The sequence below is a fragment of the Homo sapiens genome, chromosome 14 (genome assembly GCF_000001405.40).
Source record: "Homo sapiens chromosome 14, GRCh38.p14 Primary Assembly".
NCBI lineage: Eukaryota > Metazoa > Chordata > Mammalia > Primates > Hominidae > Homo > Homo sapiens.
Genome location: NC_000014.9, coordinates 61,302,829 through 61,316,786, shown reverse-complemented (window position 1 = coordinate 61,316,786; position 13,958 = coordinate 61,302,829). Strand labels below are relative to the sequence as shown.

At 39.4% G+C, this 13,958-nt stretch overlaps 1 protein-coding gene and 1 long non-coding RNA gene across 7 annotated transcripts in view; one reads left to right on the top strand and one right to left on the bottom strand.

Annotated features, from left to right (window-relative positions):
• PRKCH (protein kinase C eta) overlaps positions 1-13,958 on the bottom strand; it is a 363,509-nt gene that overhangs the window by 234,190 nt on the left and 115,361 nt on the right. The window lies entirely within an intron of this gene.
• Positions 1-13,958, top strand: part of PRKCH-AS1 (PRKCH antisense RNA 1) — a 28,119-nt gene that overhangs the window by 6,032 nt on the left and 8,129 nt on the right. For 4 of the 6 annotated variants that reach the window (NR_186037.1, NR_186038.1, NR_186041.1 and 1 more), the window contains exon 2: positions 9,552-9,719. The exons of the other annotated variants lie outside the window; for them this stretch is intronic. This is a non-coding gene — a long non-coding RNA (PRKCH antisense RNA 1). The remainder of the gene's footprint in view (positions 1-9,551; positions 9,720-13,958) is intronic. 6 annotated transcript variants of the gene reach the window in all.

Sequence of the window (13,958 nt, the reverse complement as noted above, 5' to 3'; positions counted from 1 at the left end):
CAGCATCTCAAAATTAATCTCCAGGAAAACTCTAATTGTCTCCAGCCTATGTTATGTGACATAAGGTCAGGTAGGGAGCAGCACACAGTACAAGGTCTCCGTAAGAAGGAATTGTCTGCCAATACCAACTTCTCCTATGTAACAACTTTTATCCAGAGCTGGCCCTGACCCTGAAAGCAGGGGAGCAAGGGGTTCCCTTTCTCTACACATCCCACGCTGATCACTAATGGATTGTATGTGATACAATATAGCAACTATTGCAATATAGATATATCTGTATTATAGGTCCTTTTATAGACTAGAGGGTTTTATTCCATGATCACTATTACTGTTTCTTGTCTTAGTCACACTATAACTTTAGACTTCTCTGTATATAATTCCTAGTACATTATCAAAATGCTTTTTAAATTGATTGGTTGCTTGATTGAATCACTGTCATTTTTCTAATTTCTTAAGGAACATTTCACACAACTCCCATTCCATTTAATAGAATTAGAGAATTTAGAGAATAACACAGCCAGGTCAAATGTGACCCCGTGTTACTATAAAATGGCACAGGCTTTGAGGGGCAGTTTGACAGTGTACATCAGAAGTTTCAAAGTAAAATGAGTTCTATGCCTAAAGAACCAGTTCAGCCATATTGGAATGGCTGAGTATATTATAGAATAGCAACTTAATGGAATATTATGTAATTACTAAAATTATATATGATAAACAACATAGAAAAAAACAGTAAATAGGCTGGGCGCAGTGGCTCACACCTGTAATCCCAGCAGTTTGGGAGGCCGAGGCAGGTGGATCACCTGAGGTCAGGAGTTCGAGACCAGCCTGACCAACATGATGAAACCCCATCTCTACTAAAAATTCAAAAATTAGCTGGGCGTGGTGGTATGTCCCTGTAATCCCAGCTACCCAGGAGGCTGAGGCAGGAAAGTAGCTGGAACCCAGGAGGCAAGAGCTGCAGTGAGCCAAGATCACGCCATTGCACTCCAGCCTGGGTGACAGAGCGACTCCGTCTCAAAAAAAAAAAAAATCCAGTAAATAACATTTGAAAACTAGAGTAAGAAATATAAATATGCTAAGAAGTACAAAAAATATGTATACAAAAGGATAAAGAAAACAATGCAACACGGGTAAATTAAAACAATTTTCAGAGCATTGTACAAATAAATGTACTTATTTTAAAGGACTCTGAAGATAAAATAATTAACATAAGGCATTTGATACCTTGCCAGGCACATGGTACACTTCAGCTGTTACCTTGGCTTCTGTATTATAATTTCCTGAGCATCCACCAGCCAACAAAGCACTTGACAAACATTATTCATTTGATCCTCATGACAACCAAATGAAATGTTATTATCTCTATTTCACAAATAAGGAAACCGAGAGTTGAAGCGTTAAGTGAATTGGATCACATAGCTAATACATGGTAGAGCTGAGATTTGACGAATTTTTGGAAAAATAAATGCCTAAGCTCCATCCCAGCATGATTCTAACGGATAGTAGGATTGAAAACTACCGCTACTACACACTGAGTACAAAGGGGAAGACTGAGACTCTCAGCAAGCAGGAGAGAGTGGTTTGCAGGGCAGGGGTCCTAGAAGTGCCTGTCTATATCCATTTCTGAGTATGCAAAGATACATCTAAATAAGTGGGGCCATACTGTCCTCCTCATGGGACAAAAAGAACAGAAAATGTAAGATATTTCAAAGATATAGTAATATTTCTCAGAATGAAAGAAAAACACTGGTCTCATATTGAAAATGATGCAGCATATTGGGCAGAACGAGTAAAGAACGACCCACAACTAGAAATATCATTGGGAAGTTTCCAGACTTCATGATGGATAAAGGAAAGATCTTCAATGACTTGGAGGAAGAAACAGAGACAAAGTCAGGGCGGGGTGGCATGGGGGGCTGAGATCAGAGAGTGAGGACTTCAGCTAGCCAAAGGGTCCTGACGGCCAGTCTGTTAGGGTGTCAGTGGATGCACAGCTCATGATGAGAGAGAGAATAAAGGGAAGGAAACCCAAAGGGGAAGGGTCCTAAGAGGGCAAGCAGATCCAGGAGACAGGGAGAGCTTCTCGCCCTTCCTCAGGTTTCCCCAAAAGAAGAGCCTTCGATGACTATTTGCCTCAAAAGTCCACTTAAGTAAGACAGATTCCAGGGATTGAGATCAGAACAGAAAAGCACAAATAAAAATAATCCTCCCATAAAAAGCAATCAAGTTAGTAACACTTTGTACTGACAACTGCCCAGACAGCCTGGTGATCAAGAGCAACGACTTCATAAAACATTTCTGCCACTGTTTTCTAACAGGAAAATCGAGTGAGGTTAAATATTTTATGTATGTAAACAAAACAAATACAAATCTCTTCTATGGCTAATTTATTTTTTGACATCTCACCTACTTGAATCTATCCATATTAGAATATTTTCCTTTGAAATCCTTTATATTATCTAAGTGCCTTTCTAGCAATAGTGTGAACCCTGGAAAACCTTGCTGCCATTCTATTAAGAAACAGATTTATGACAGCCCAATTATAGTTTTGTAGATTCATACACAATAAAAAAAACTTCATACACAAAAAAAGACTTCATACACAATAAAAAAGAAGAGATAAATTATTTAGGGGAGCCAAATCTAACTGCATTTAGTCACTGCAAACATTTCTTTGTATCCACTTCTAACACGTAAAACTAGCATGTCACCAAATGAGGCAAAAATATCTTTTCAAACTAAAATAATGTAAGCCTGGGCAAATGGCGAGAACCTGTCTCTATAAGAAATTTTAAAAATTAGCTGGGCGTGGTGGCACATGCCTATGGTCCCAGCTACTCAGGAGGCTAAAACAGAAGGATCGTGATGTGGTTTGGCTGTGTCCCCACCCAAATCTCATCTTGAATTCCCACGTGTTGTAGGAGGGACCCAGTGGGAGGTGGCTGAATCATGGGAACAGGTCTTTCCCATGCTGTTCTCATGACAGTGAGTGGGTCTCATGGGATCTGACGTTTATATAAGGGGGAGTTTCCCTACACAAGCTCTCTTCACCTGCTGCCATCCATGTAAGATGTGACTTGCTTCTCCTTGCCTTCCACCATGATTGTGAGGCACCCCCCAGCCACATGGAACTATGAGTCCAATTAAACCTTCTTTTTTTTGTAAATTGCCCAGTCTCGGGTATGTCTTTATCAACAGCATGAGAACAGACTAATACAGAGTGGTTGAGTCTAGGAGGTTGAGGCTGATCACCGACCATGATTACACTACTGTATTCCAGCCTGGGCAACAGAGCAAGACCCTGTCTCAAAATAAAATGGTTTAAAATTCTTTAATTCTGAATGCAGAACTTAATATTTTTGACATTTTAAAAAAGGATTAGTGATAGAAGCATGTGAATATGGTTTAAAATAGTAATCATTTTCTCTAAAGCTATTATTAATATAGCTAATGGTCAGGTTGTTCCATTAACTTTTCTCATTTGGTTCTTGTCCATTAACAAGCCAAGTAGTTATTAACTACAAGTCATAACCAAATTATTAAACTGTATGGCTTGTGTAAGAAACCTGTGAAAGGAAAATGACTATTTTGCGGTAATAGCATCATTCTCTTTACCCTTTACTGGGTTTTCTCTAGGTCTTGATGGCATTCTCTGGTATACTCAGTGACCATCCAGTCAGTAATTTCATTCTTGTCCTTGGGCATCATACTTGGATTTTTCAAAATCCTTTGGAATTGCCTTTAGGTCACTTATGAAAACCTCTACACACTCTTTTAGCCTTTGAACTGAATAGTTTTTATAGTGATAAAATTTAATACACAAAATGTTTATTATCAATTCAAATGATCTTAATGTTAAGGAGGTCACTCAGGCCTTCTTAGTTATGTTTTTCATAGCTGTGGGAGGCGGGGGGAGAGTGATATGGTTTGGCTGTGTGCCACCCAGATCGCGTCTTGAATTGTAGCTCCCATAATCCCCACATGTTGTGGAGGGAGCCAGTGGGAGGTAATCGAATCATGGGGGAAGGTTTTCCCATGCTGTTCTTGTGATGGTGAATAATCTCATGAGATCTGATGGTTTTATAAAGGGCAGTTCCACTGTACACACTCTCTTGCCTGCTATAATGTAAGACGTGCCTTTGCTCCTCCTTCACCTTCTGCCATGATTGAGAGGCCTCCCCAGCCATGTGGAACTGAGATTCCATTAAACCTCTTTTTAAAAAAAATTACCCATTCTCGGGTATTTCTTCATAGCAGTATGAAAATGGACCAATATGGAGAGCTTCACTTTAAATTGACTATTTTACCAGGATGTAGCCATAGCTATTTACTAGAGTAGCCATTGTAGACTTTCTCAATATATTGTTAGTGAAAAAAGCAGGCTATCAAACTGTAATTCATCATGACCCTATTTGGTGTAAAATATGTTGGCCAGCCTGGCCAACATGGCGAAACTCCATCTCTATTAAAAATACAAAAATGAGCCAGGCATGGTGGCACATGCCTGTAATCCCAGCTGCTTAGGAAGCTGAAGCACAAGAATCATTTGTTTTGAACACAGAAATTTAGCAAATGTTTATTCAAAATGCTGGACAAGTAAAGTAGGTAAATTAAGGTACTGCTTCTTTTCAGTACTAATTTAATAAAATCCCACTATGTAGTTGATATGGCTTGACTCTGTGTCCCCACTCAAATCTCATCTTGAATTATAATCCCTACATGTCGAGGGAGGGACCTGTAATCCCCACATGTCAAGGGACCTCTAATCCCCACATGTCAACCACCCTGGATCATAGGGGCAGTTTCTCTCACATTGTTCTCATGATAGTGAGTGAGTTCTTGTGAGATCTGATTATTTTATAAGGGGCTCTTTCTCCTTTGCACACTCTCTCACCTGCTGCCATGTAGGATGAACTTGCTTGCTTCCTCTTCCACCATAATTGTATTAGATTGGTGCAAAAGTAATTGCAGTTTTTGCCATTAAAGGTAAACACAATTACATTTACAAAAACTACAATTACTTTGCACCAACCGAAATAAGTTTCCTGAGGTCTCCCCAGCCATGTGGAATTGTGAGTCAATTAAACCTCTTTTCTTTATAAATTACCCAGTGTCAGGCAGTTCTTTGTAGCAGTGTGAAAACAGACTAATACAGTAAATTGGTACCAAGAGTGGGGCACTGCTGTAGATACCTGAAAATGTGGAAGTGACTTTGGAACTGGGTAACACGCAGACGTTGGAACAGTTTGGACGGCTCAGAAGAAAACAGGAAGATATGGGATAGTTTGGAGTTTCCTAGAGACTTGTTGAATGGTTGGAGCCAAAATGCTGGTAGTGATATGGACAATGAAGCCCAGGCTGAGGTGGTCTCAGATGGAGATGAGGAACTTATTGAACACTGGAGCTATCCTTTTGCCAAGAGACAGATGGCATTTTGCCTCTGAAGTTGAGAGAGACGATCTGAAATTGGAATTTATGTTTAAAAGGGAAGCAGAGCATAAAAGTTTGAAAAATTTGCAGCCTGATGATGCAATAGAAAAGAAAAACCCATTTTCTGGGGGGAAATTCAAGCTGGCCACAGAAATTTGCATAAGTAACAAGGAGCCAAATGTTAATTGCCAAGACAATGGGGAAAATGTCTCCAGGGCATGTCACAGAGATCTTGGCAGCAGCCCCTCCCACCACAGATCTGGAGGCCTAGGAGGAAAACTTGGTTTCATGGGCCAGGCCCAGGGCCCTTCTGCTCTGTGCAGCCTTGGAACATGGCACCCTGCATCCCATGCACTGCTGCTTCAGCTCCAGCTGTGGCTAAAAGGGGCCAACATACAGCTCAGGCTGTTGCTTCAGAAGGTGCAAGCCCCAAGCCTTGGCAGCTTCCACTTGGCGTTGGGCCTGCAGGTGCACAGAAGTCAATAATTGAGGTTGGAGAACCTCTACCTAGATTTCAGAAGATGTATGGAAATGCCTGGATGTCCAGGCAGAAGTTTGCTGCTAGGGCAGAGCCCTTATGGAGAACCTCTGCTAGGGCACTGCAAAGGCAAATGTGGGGTTGGAGCCCCCACACAGAGTCCCCATTGGGTCACTGCCTAGTGGAGCTGTGAGAAAAGGGCTACCATCCTCCAGACCCCAGAATGGTAGATCTACCTACAGCTTGCATCAGGTGCCTGGAAAAGCCACAGGCACTCAACACCAACACCTCGAAAGCAGCCAGGAAGGGAGCTGTACCTTGAAGACCCACAGGGGTGGAGCTGCCCAAGGCCATGGGAGCCCACTCTTTGTATCAGTGTGCCCTGGCTGTGAGACATGGAGTCAAAGGAGACCATTTTGGAGCTTTAAGATTTAATGACTGCCCCGCGGGATTTTGGACTTGCATGGGGCTTGTAGCCACTTTGTTTTGGCCAATTTTTCCTATTTGGAATGGGTGTACTTACCGAATGCCTGTACCCCCATTGTATCTTGGAAGGAATTAACTTGTTTTTTATTTTACAGGTTTATAGGCGGAAGGGACTTGCCTTGTCTCAAATGAAACTTTGGACTGTGGACTTTTGAGTTAATGCTGAAATGAGTTAAGACTTTGGAGGACTGTTGGGAAGGCATGATTGGTTTTGAAATGTGAAAAGATATGAGATTTGGGAGGGGCCAGGGATGGAATGATATGGTTTGGCTCTGTGCCCCACCCGAATCTCATCTCGAATTGTAATCCCCATGTGTTTTGTTGAGGGAGAGAAGTGATTGGATCACGGAGGGGGGGCGGTTCCCTCCATGCTATTCTTGTGATAGTGAGTGAGTTCTCATGAGATCTGATGGTTTTATAAGGGGTTCTTTCCCTTTTGCACTCTCTCTTGCCTGCCACCATGTAAGATGTGCCTGCTTCCCCTTCTGCCATGATTGTAAGTTTCCTGAGGCCTCCTCAGACATATGGAACTGCGAGTCAATTAAACATCTTTTCTTCATAAATTTCCCAGTCTCGGGCAGTTCTTTATAGCAGTATGGACTAATAAAGTAGTCAACATAATTTTAGTTCTAGAAGCCAGTAGGTAATAGCAAGGTAATTCAGATCTTCCATTCATGACCTTTTGGGGTGGCATGGGGAGTTAGATGATCCAAATATTGGGATTTGACAATATTTGACAAATTTGGGTGATTTTTCTTCTCTCAAGTTTAAGAACCCTAGGCATAGGAGACAATAGCTTTCAAAGACTTTGGTTTGCATCCTCCCAAAATTGCTAGATGGCCTTGGACAAATCATATAATTGCACAGAATTAAATGAGAAACTGAATTTAAAGCGCATTGCAAAGCCCTGCAGCATTGTATTAATGTTATCAGCTCTGCCTCATCCTGCTGCTCACTTTCCCTTCCATTTGCTTTATCCTTCCTGCCTGCCACAGATCCCCTCCTATTCACCTCATCCTTTGGCCCCTGCCACAGATCCATGACTATGCAGGGGGCTCAACCCTGCCATTTGCAGAGAACCTTCAAATCAGAGGTAATTTTTTTTTTGAGACAGGGTCTCACTCCTGTCAGCTAGGTTGGAGTGCACCGGCACAATCACGGCTCACTGCAGCCTCGACCTCCCAGGCTCAAGTGATCCTCCCACCTCACTTCCTGAATAGCTGAAACTACAGGCTTGTGCCACCACACCCAGCTAATTTTGTATTTTTCTGTAGAGGCGGGGTCTCGGTATGTTGCCCAGCTGGTCTTGAACTCCAGATATTAAGTGATCCTCCCACCTTGGCCTCCCAAAGTGCTAGGATTATAGGCATGAGACATGGTGCCCCGCTCAGAGGTAGAATTTTTGACATATTCTTTTAGTCCAAATATAATCACTTAAACTGAGATTCTAAATATGCAGGAGGCTGGACGTGATGTCTTATGCCTGTAATCCCAGCATTGTGGGAGGCTGACGCTGGAGGATTGCTTGAGGCCAGGAATTCAAGACCAGTCTGGGCAACATAGTGAGACTCTGTCTCTACAAAAAATTTAAAACTAGGCCCAGTGTGGTGGCAAATGCCTGTAGTCCTAGCTCCTCGGGAGGCTGAGGTGGGAGGATCACTTGAGCCCAGCAGTTTGAGGCTGCAGTGAACCGTGTTTGTACCACTGCACTCAAGCCTGGGCAATGGAGCGAGACTCTGTCTCAAAAAATAAATAAAAAATAATATATAACATACACACACATATATGTGGAGGAACACTTGAAAAATAACACAAGTAGCAAGAAAGACACAAGTGCTCTGGTGAGTATAACAAAAATAAAGGCAGATGATAAGCTCATGGGTACAATGGGTGTGATAATATAAAAACCACACTGAGTACTAAGATGAAACTTGGGCTTGATACAGGAGAAAGGAAGTCAACAAAGGAATTTTACACATTTCCCTGAGTTACTCATTTTAAGAGTCCGAACAACTGAAATCAGGAAACACCTGTGCTTGTTAACATTAGTTAGGAAATGACTTTAAAAACTTGGACTCCGTTTTAGATAACTGGTGGCAGGCAGTGATATCATTCTAGCATCTATATTTCCACGTAAATGCACAAGCTATGTTTCTTAGTTTTGGTCCATTTATGTAATAGCAATCAGAGACTCAATGCATTATATTTATAGAATAATTGTTACACATTTTAAGTTTTCAAATTACCTGGGGCCAGACACAGTGGCTCATGCCTGTAATCCCAACACTCTGGGAGACCAAGGCAGGAGGATAACTTGAAGCCAGGAGTTCAAGACAAGCCTGGGCAACATAGTGAGATCCCCATCTCTACAAAAAAAAATTAAAAATTAGCCAGGTGTGCTGATGTGTGCCTGTGGTTCTGACTGTTCAGAAGGCTGAGGTGGGAGGATTGCTTGGGCTCAGGACTTCAAGGTCACAGTAAGCCCTGATTGCACTGCTGCATTCCAGCCTGCGTGACAGAGCGAGACCCTGTCTCACTCAAAAATAATAAAATAAAATTACCTGGCATTTAGCTGCATGTTTATTTTTGTTCCCATTTATAGTTATTTGAAGATTGTTATAATCACACAGAAATATGGCCATCATTACTTTGAGATGAAAATAAATGTATAGAATGAATGTTTTATGATAAAAAACAAAAAAACAGCATTGTAATAAGATGGGCCAGACGAACACAGGAAAAATGGGTCCATTTGAAGATATGCTAGAGAACTCTAGACCAAACCTTTATTTTACAGATGAGGAGCCAGAATCAGAGCTGAGTATCTGCATGTTTTTTATTACACATTCTCTGGGTCTTCAGAATGTAAGGCTAGAGGCTCCCAGAGCGGGTCCTATCTCAAGTAAATTACTGGATCAATAGGCCTTATCTGATTGATTGATTTAAACAGCATTATTGTTTAGATTGCTTTGATATGGTTTGTTAAACAATAAAGTAAAACATATAAATTATGCTGTTGTTGATGATGTATATATCACCTTTCTTAGAAATACAATGTCTGTGACAAGTTTGTTTCTGGAATTTTCTTTGATGTGCCAGTGAAATTATAACCAGTAGGAAAAAAAGTTATTTACTGTTGTTATTGTTTTTATAGTGGAGACCAGAGTCTTGCTATGCTTTCCAGGCTGGTTTTGAACTCCTAGCCTCAAGCGATTTTCCTGCCTCAGCTTCCCAAAGTGCTGGGATTACAGGCACAAGCCACTGCACCCGGCCCTGTTGTTGTTAAGAAAATTACAAGTTAAATCTTGTACCAGTGAACAAGGTTTGTATAGATGATTTTATTGTCTTGAAATTTTATTTTATCTCACTTTAAAAAAATAGAAGCATATTAGAATATACTTTGTTCTATACCCAAATCTTGTGTTAAACTCTTTAAAAATGTCTTTTCAGTGTTTGGTAAAAGCTGCAATGAGTCGTACAGATGTATATTTCACATTAATTATTAATAATTATAATTTAGAAATGTTAATTACAGTCATTTAAAGGAACTTCAACAAACTAATGGTTATTGAAGTTACATTAAGAATATCTATAATCATGAAGAGTAGTGGCCTAATACAGTAATGAAAGACAGATCTTTAAATTTAAAAAGGAAAAATGTGATTGTGTGTTTTCGTACGTTATTAAGTTGTAGACAATATACCAAAACATACATCAGAGGACATTCACTTATGGCCATAGATAGTAGCTAATGCCAGACACATCCTCCCACTAGAAACAACTAGAAATACACAAGATAACTGATTCTAGACATTTGACAACAAACATTGCAGGGCAGTGATACTTGAGAGAAAGGAAACACAATGTGATCTGCACGTCCTCTTCAGCTTTCTGTCTGGGGACACCAAGTAGACTAAAAGGAAGTGGAATCCAAGGAAGTATGGAAGTCTTGCTGAGCTGAAGAAATCTAGATAAAAGTTTAGAGTAGTTGTCATCCCTGAAATTTGTAAGACAGAATACCACAAAGAAAGGAGTATGCAGAAGAAGAGGACAAAGAAGATTTCACAAGCATTCCTGTGTAGCCCATGTGCAGGATAGGACTTAATGAGGCCTAGCAGAGAATGGTTGCTATGAACAAGAGAACTGGGCCAAGATATCATAGACTGTGCAGTACTGCAAACACTGGAATACTGTCCCAGCCTAAATGGAGAGACCTTACTAAGCACCTCATCCATTCAATTGAAATTCTAAAGAGGATAGACCTTAGGAGTAAATACCATGTCCCAGACAAAGGGCCATGTCTCAGGACTAAGGATAAAACTGACATAGAATAAATAATAATAATACATAACAAAACAAAGCCTAGCAAGATCAAGAGGATTTTTTAGTAGTTTAATAGCCTGATAGAATAAACCTCAACACCATTTAAAAGAAGATAACATAATCCAGACTCTCTGTAACTCCTTTATAACAATATTCAACAGGAGGTTAAAAAATATTGTACCTGTAAAGAAGCAGAAATATGTGACTCATAATCAAAATAAGACATGGTCAATAGAAGCAGAATCCAAGATGACCCAAATGTTGGAATTAGCAGATGAGGTCTTTAAAACAGCTATTATAAATATATGTAAGGATGCATGGGAAAAGATGAATATGTGATTAAACAGATGAGAATGATCAGCAAAGAAATAAACCAAATGGATATATTAGAAATAAAAAGCAAATATCTGAAATGTAAAATTTATTCGATGGTTAGAGCAGTTTGGAGATGGCAAAAGGATGGGTGAATTATCTCTAACAGAGAGCAATAGAAATTATATAATTTAATAACAGAAAGGAAAAGATTGGAAAAAATATATAAACAGCCTCAGTGAACTCTGGAACAACCCTGCAAAGTTAGTATATATATAATTGGAGTCCTAAGGCTAAGCATGGTGGCTCATACCTGTAATCCCAACACTTTGGGAGGCTGAGGCAGGAGTTCAAGACCAGCCTGAGCAACACAGTGAGACCCCCATCTCTACCAAAAAAAAAAAAAAGCTGGGCATGGTGGCACATGTCTATAGTCCTAGCTACTTGGGAGGCTGAGGTGGGAGGATCACTTAAGCCTTGAAGTAAAGGCTGCAGTGAGCTCTGATTGTACCACTGTGCTCCAGCCCGTGCTGGACAGAGTGAGACCCTATCTCTAAAGTAAAAGATAATAATAATTAGAGTCTCAGTAAAAGAAAGGAAAAAGAAAATGGGGTAGAGTGAAATTTTTAAAAAAATTCTCTAATTTGGTGAAAAACATCAGCCTACAGATTGAAGAATCAACAAACTCCAAGCAGAATAAATACAAAAAATAAAATAAAGAAAGAAAACACACCAGCTACACTGTAGTCAAAAGGTTAAAAACCAAAAATATAGAATAAATGTTGAAACAGAAAAAAAAGTCAATGACATAAGGGGAACAATGCTATGAATCACAGTTGACTTCTTACTAGAAACAGTGGAGGCCAAAAGAAATGGAATGATGCCATTAAAGTACTGAAAGAATAGAGCAACCCAGCTTTTTTTTTTTTTTAAGACCTTGTTTGGCTCAGTCGCCTAGACTGGAGTGAAGTGATGCAGTCACAGCTCACTGCAGCCTCAACCTCCTAAGCTCAAGTGATCCTCTCACCTCAGCCTCCCAATTAGCTAGGACTACGAGTGTATGCCACTATGTCCAACTAATTTTTTTTTTTTTTAGAGATGGGGTCTCAGCTACGTTGCCCAAACTGTTCTTGAACTCCTGGGTTCAAGCAATCCTCCTGCCTTAGCCTTCCAAAGTGCTGGGATTACAAGTGTGAGCCACCACACCTGGCCAGAATTCTAACATTTTCTCAAAAATGAAAACAAAAAAGACATTTTCTGATAAACAAATGCTGGGAGGATTCATTGTAAACTATATTAAATACTAATAGAAGAATTGGGGGCGGTGGTGATGGAAAATGATAGCACAGGGAAATCTAAACTACAGAAAGTAATAAATAGCACCAGAAATGGTAAGTAGACGTGTAAATATAAAGAACTTTTTTCTTCTCATTTTTTTAAAACAGACTATTTAAAGACAAATATATTGTAGGACTCTCAATTCATGTAGAAGTAAAATACATGACAGCAATAACAAAAAAGGACAGAGGGTTTTGTTTGTGTGTGTGTGTGTGTGTTTATTTTAAGCAATGCTTTTGGAGAAAGAAAAAAAGGACAGAGTTAACAAAATTGTACTATTGTAAGATTCTTACATTTCACATGAAGTAGTATAATATTAACTCTAAACAGACTGTTAAGGTTGTGCTGACTACTATGGTAGTCAGTAGCCACAAGTGACTAAATTTAAACTTAAATTAATTAAAAATAAATAAAATTTAAATTTCAGTCTTCAGTTGTACTAGCCATATTTCAAGGTATCAACAGTCACAGGTAGCCAGTGTCTACCATATTGGAAAGACATAGAACATTTTCACTACTAAAGAACATTTAGTTGGAGAATGCTGCCCTATAGCAACCATAAAAAAAAAAAAATACAGACATATAACTTTAAAATCAATAAATGAATTAGAATACTAAGAATATTGTATAAACCAAAATAAAGCCATGAAGGAGGAAATGAGAAACAAACAAAAAATGAGACAAGCAGAAAACAAATAGCAAGGTGATAGACTTAAATCCTACCAAATCAATAATTATATTAAATATAAATGAACTAAACAGTCCAAAGAAAAGAAAAAGATTGCAAGGATGAATAAAAAGCAAGATTCAAGTAAGAGCTTTGGCATGAGATGCAATGCATTTTAAAGATCCAGATAGGTTGAAAGTAAAAGGAAGGGAAAACATAGACCAAGCAAATCTAAGAAACCTGGTATTGATATACTATTATTATACAAAACAAACTTCAAGTCAAAAAGAATTATCAAAGTTGAAGAGTGACATTCCTTAATGAAAAATGGTCATTTCATCATGAAGACATAAAAAATATAAATGTTTATGTGACTAAAAAGCTTCAAGTATAAGAAGCAAGATATGAAAATTAAAGGAACAGGCCCAGCACAGTGGCTCATGCCTATAATCCCAGAACTTTGGGAGGCCAAGGTGGGAGGAATGCTCAAGCCCAGGAGTTCGAGACTAGCCTGGGCAACATAGTGAGATCCTGTCTCTACAAAAAAATTTTAAAATTAGGTGGGCATGGTGATAGACATCTGTAGCTGTAGCATCTGTAGCTACTCGAGAGGCTGGGGCAGGAGGATTGTTTGAACTCAGGAGGTCAAGGCTGCAATGAGCTGTGATCAGATCATGCCACTGCACTCCAGCCTGGATGACAGAGTGAGACCCTGTCTCAAAAAAAAAAAAAAAAAATTGAAGGAACAAATATACAAATCTGTAATCACAGTTGAACATTTTTAATTCACCTACATGTACTTTGTAGAACTAGACATAGATATGTGAATATAAATGATTTGAACACTATCAACCAACTTAACCTAATTGATAAATAGAGAATACTTCACCTAGTATCTGCAGAATAAACAACGATTTTCAA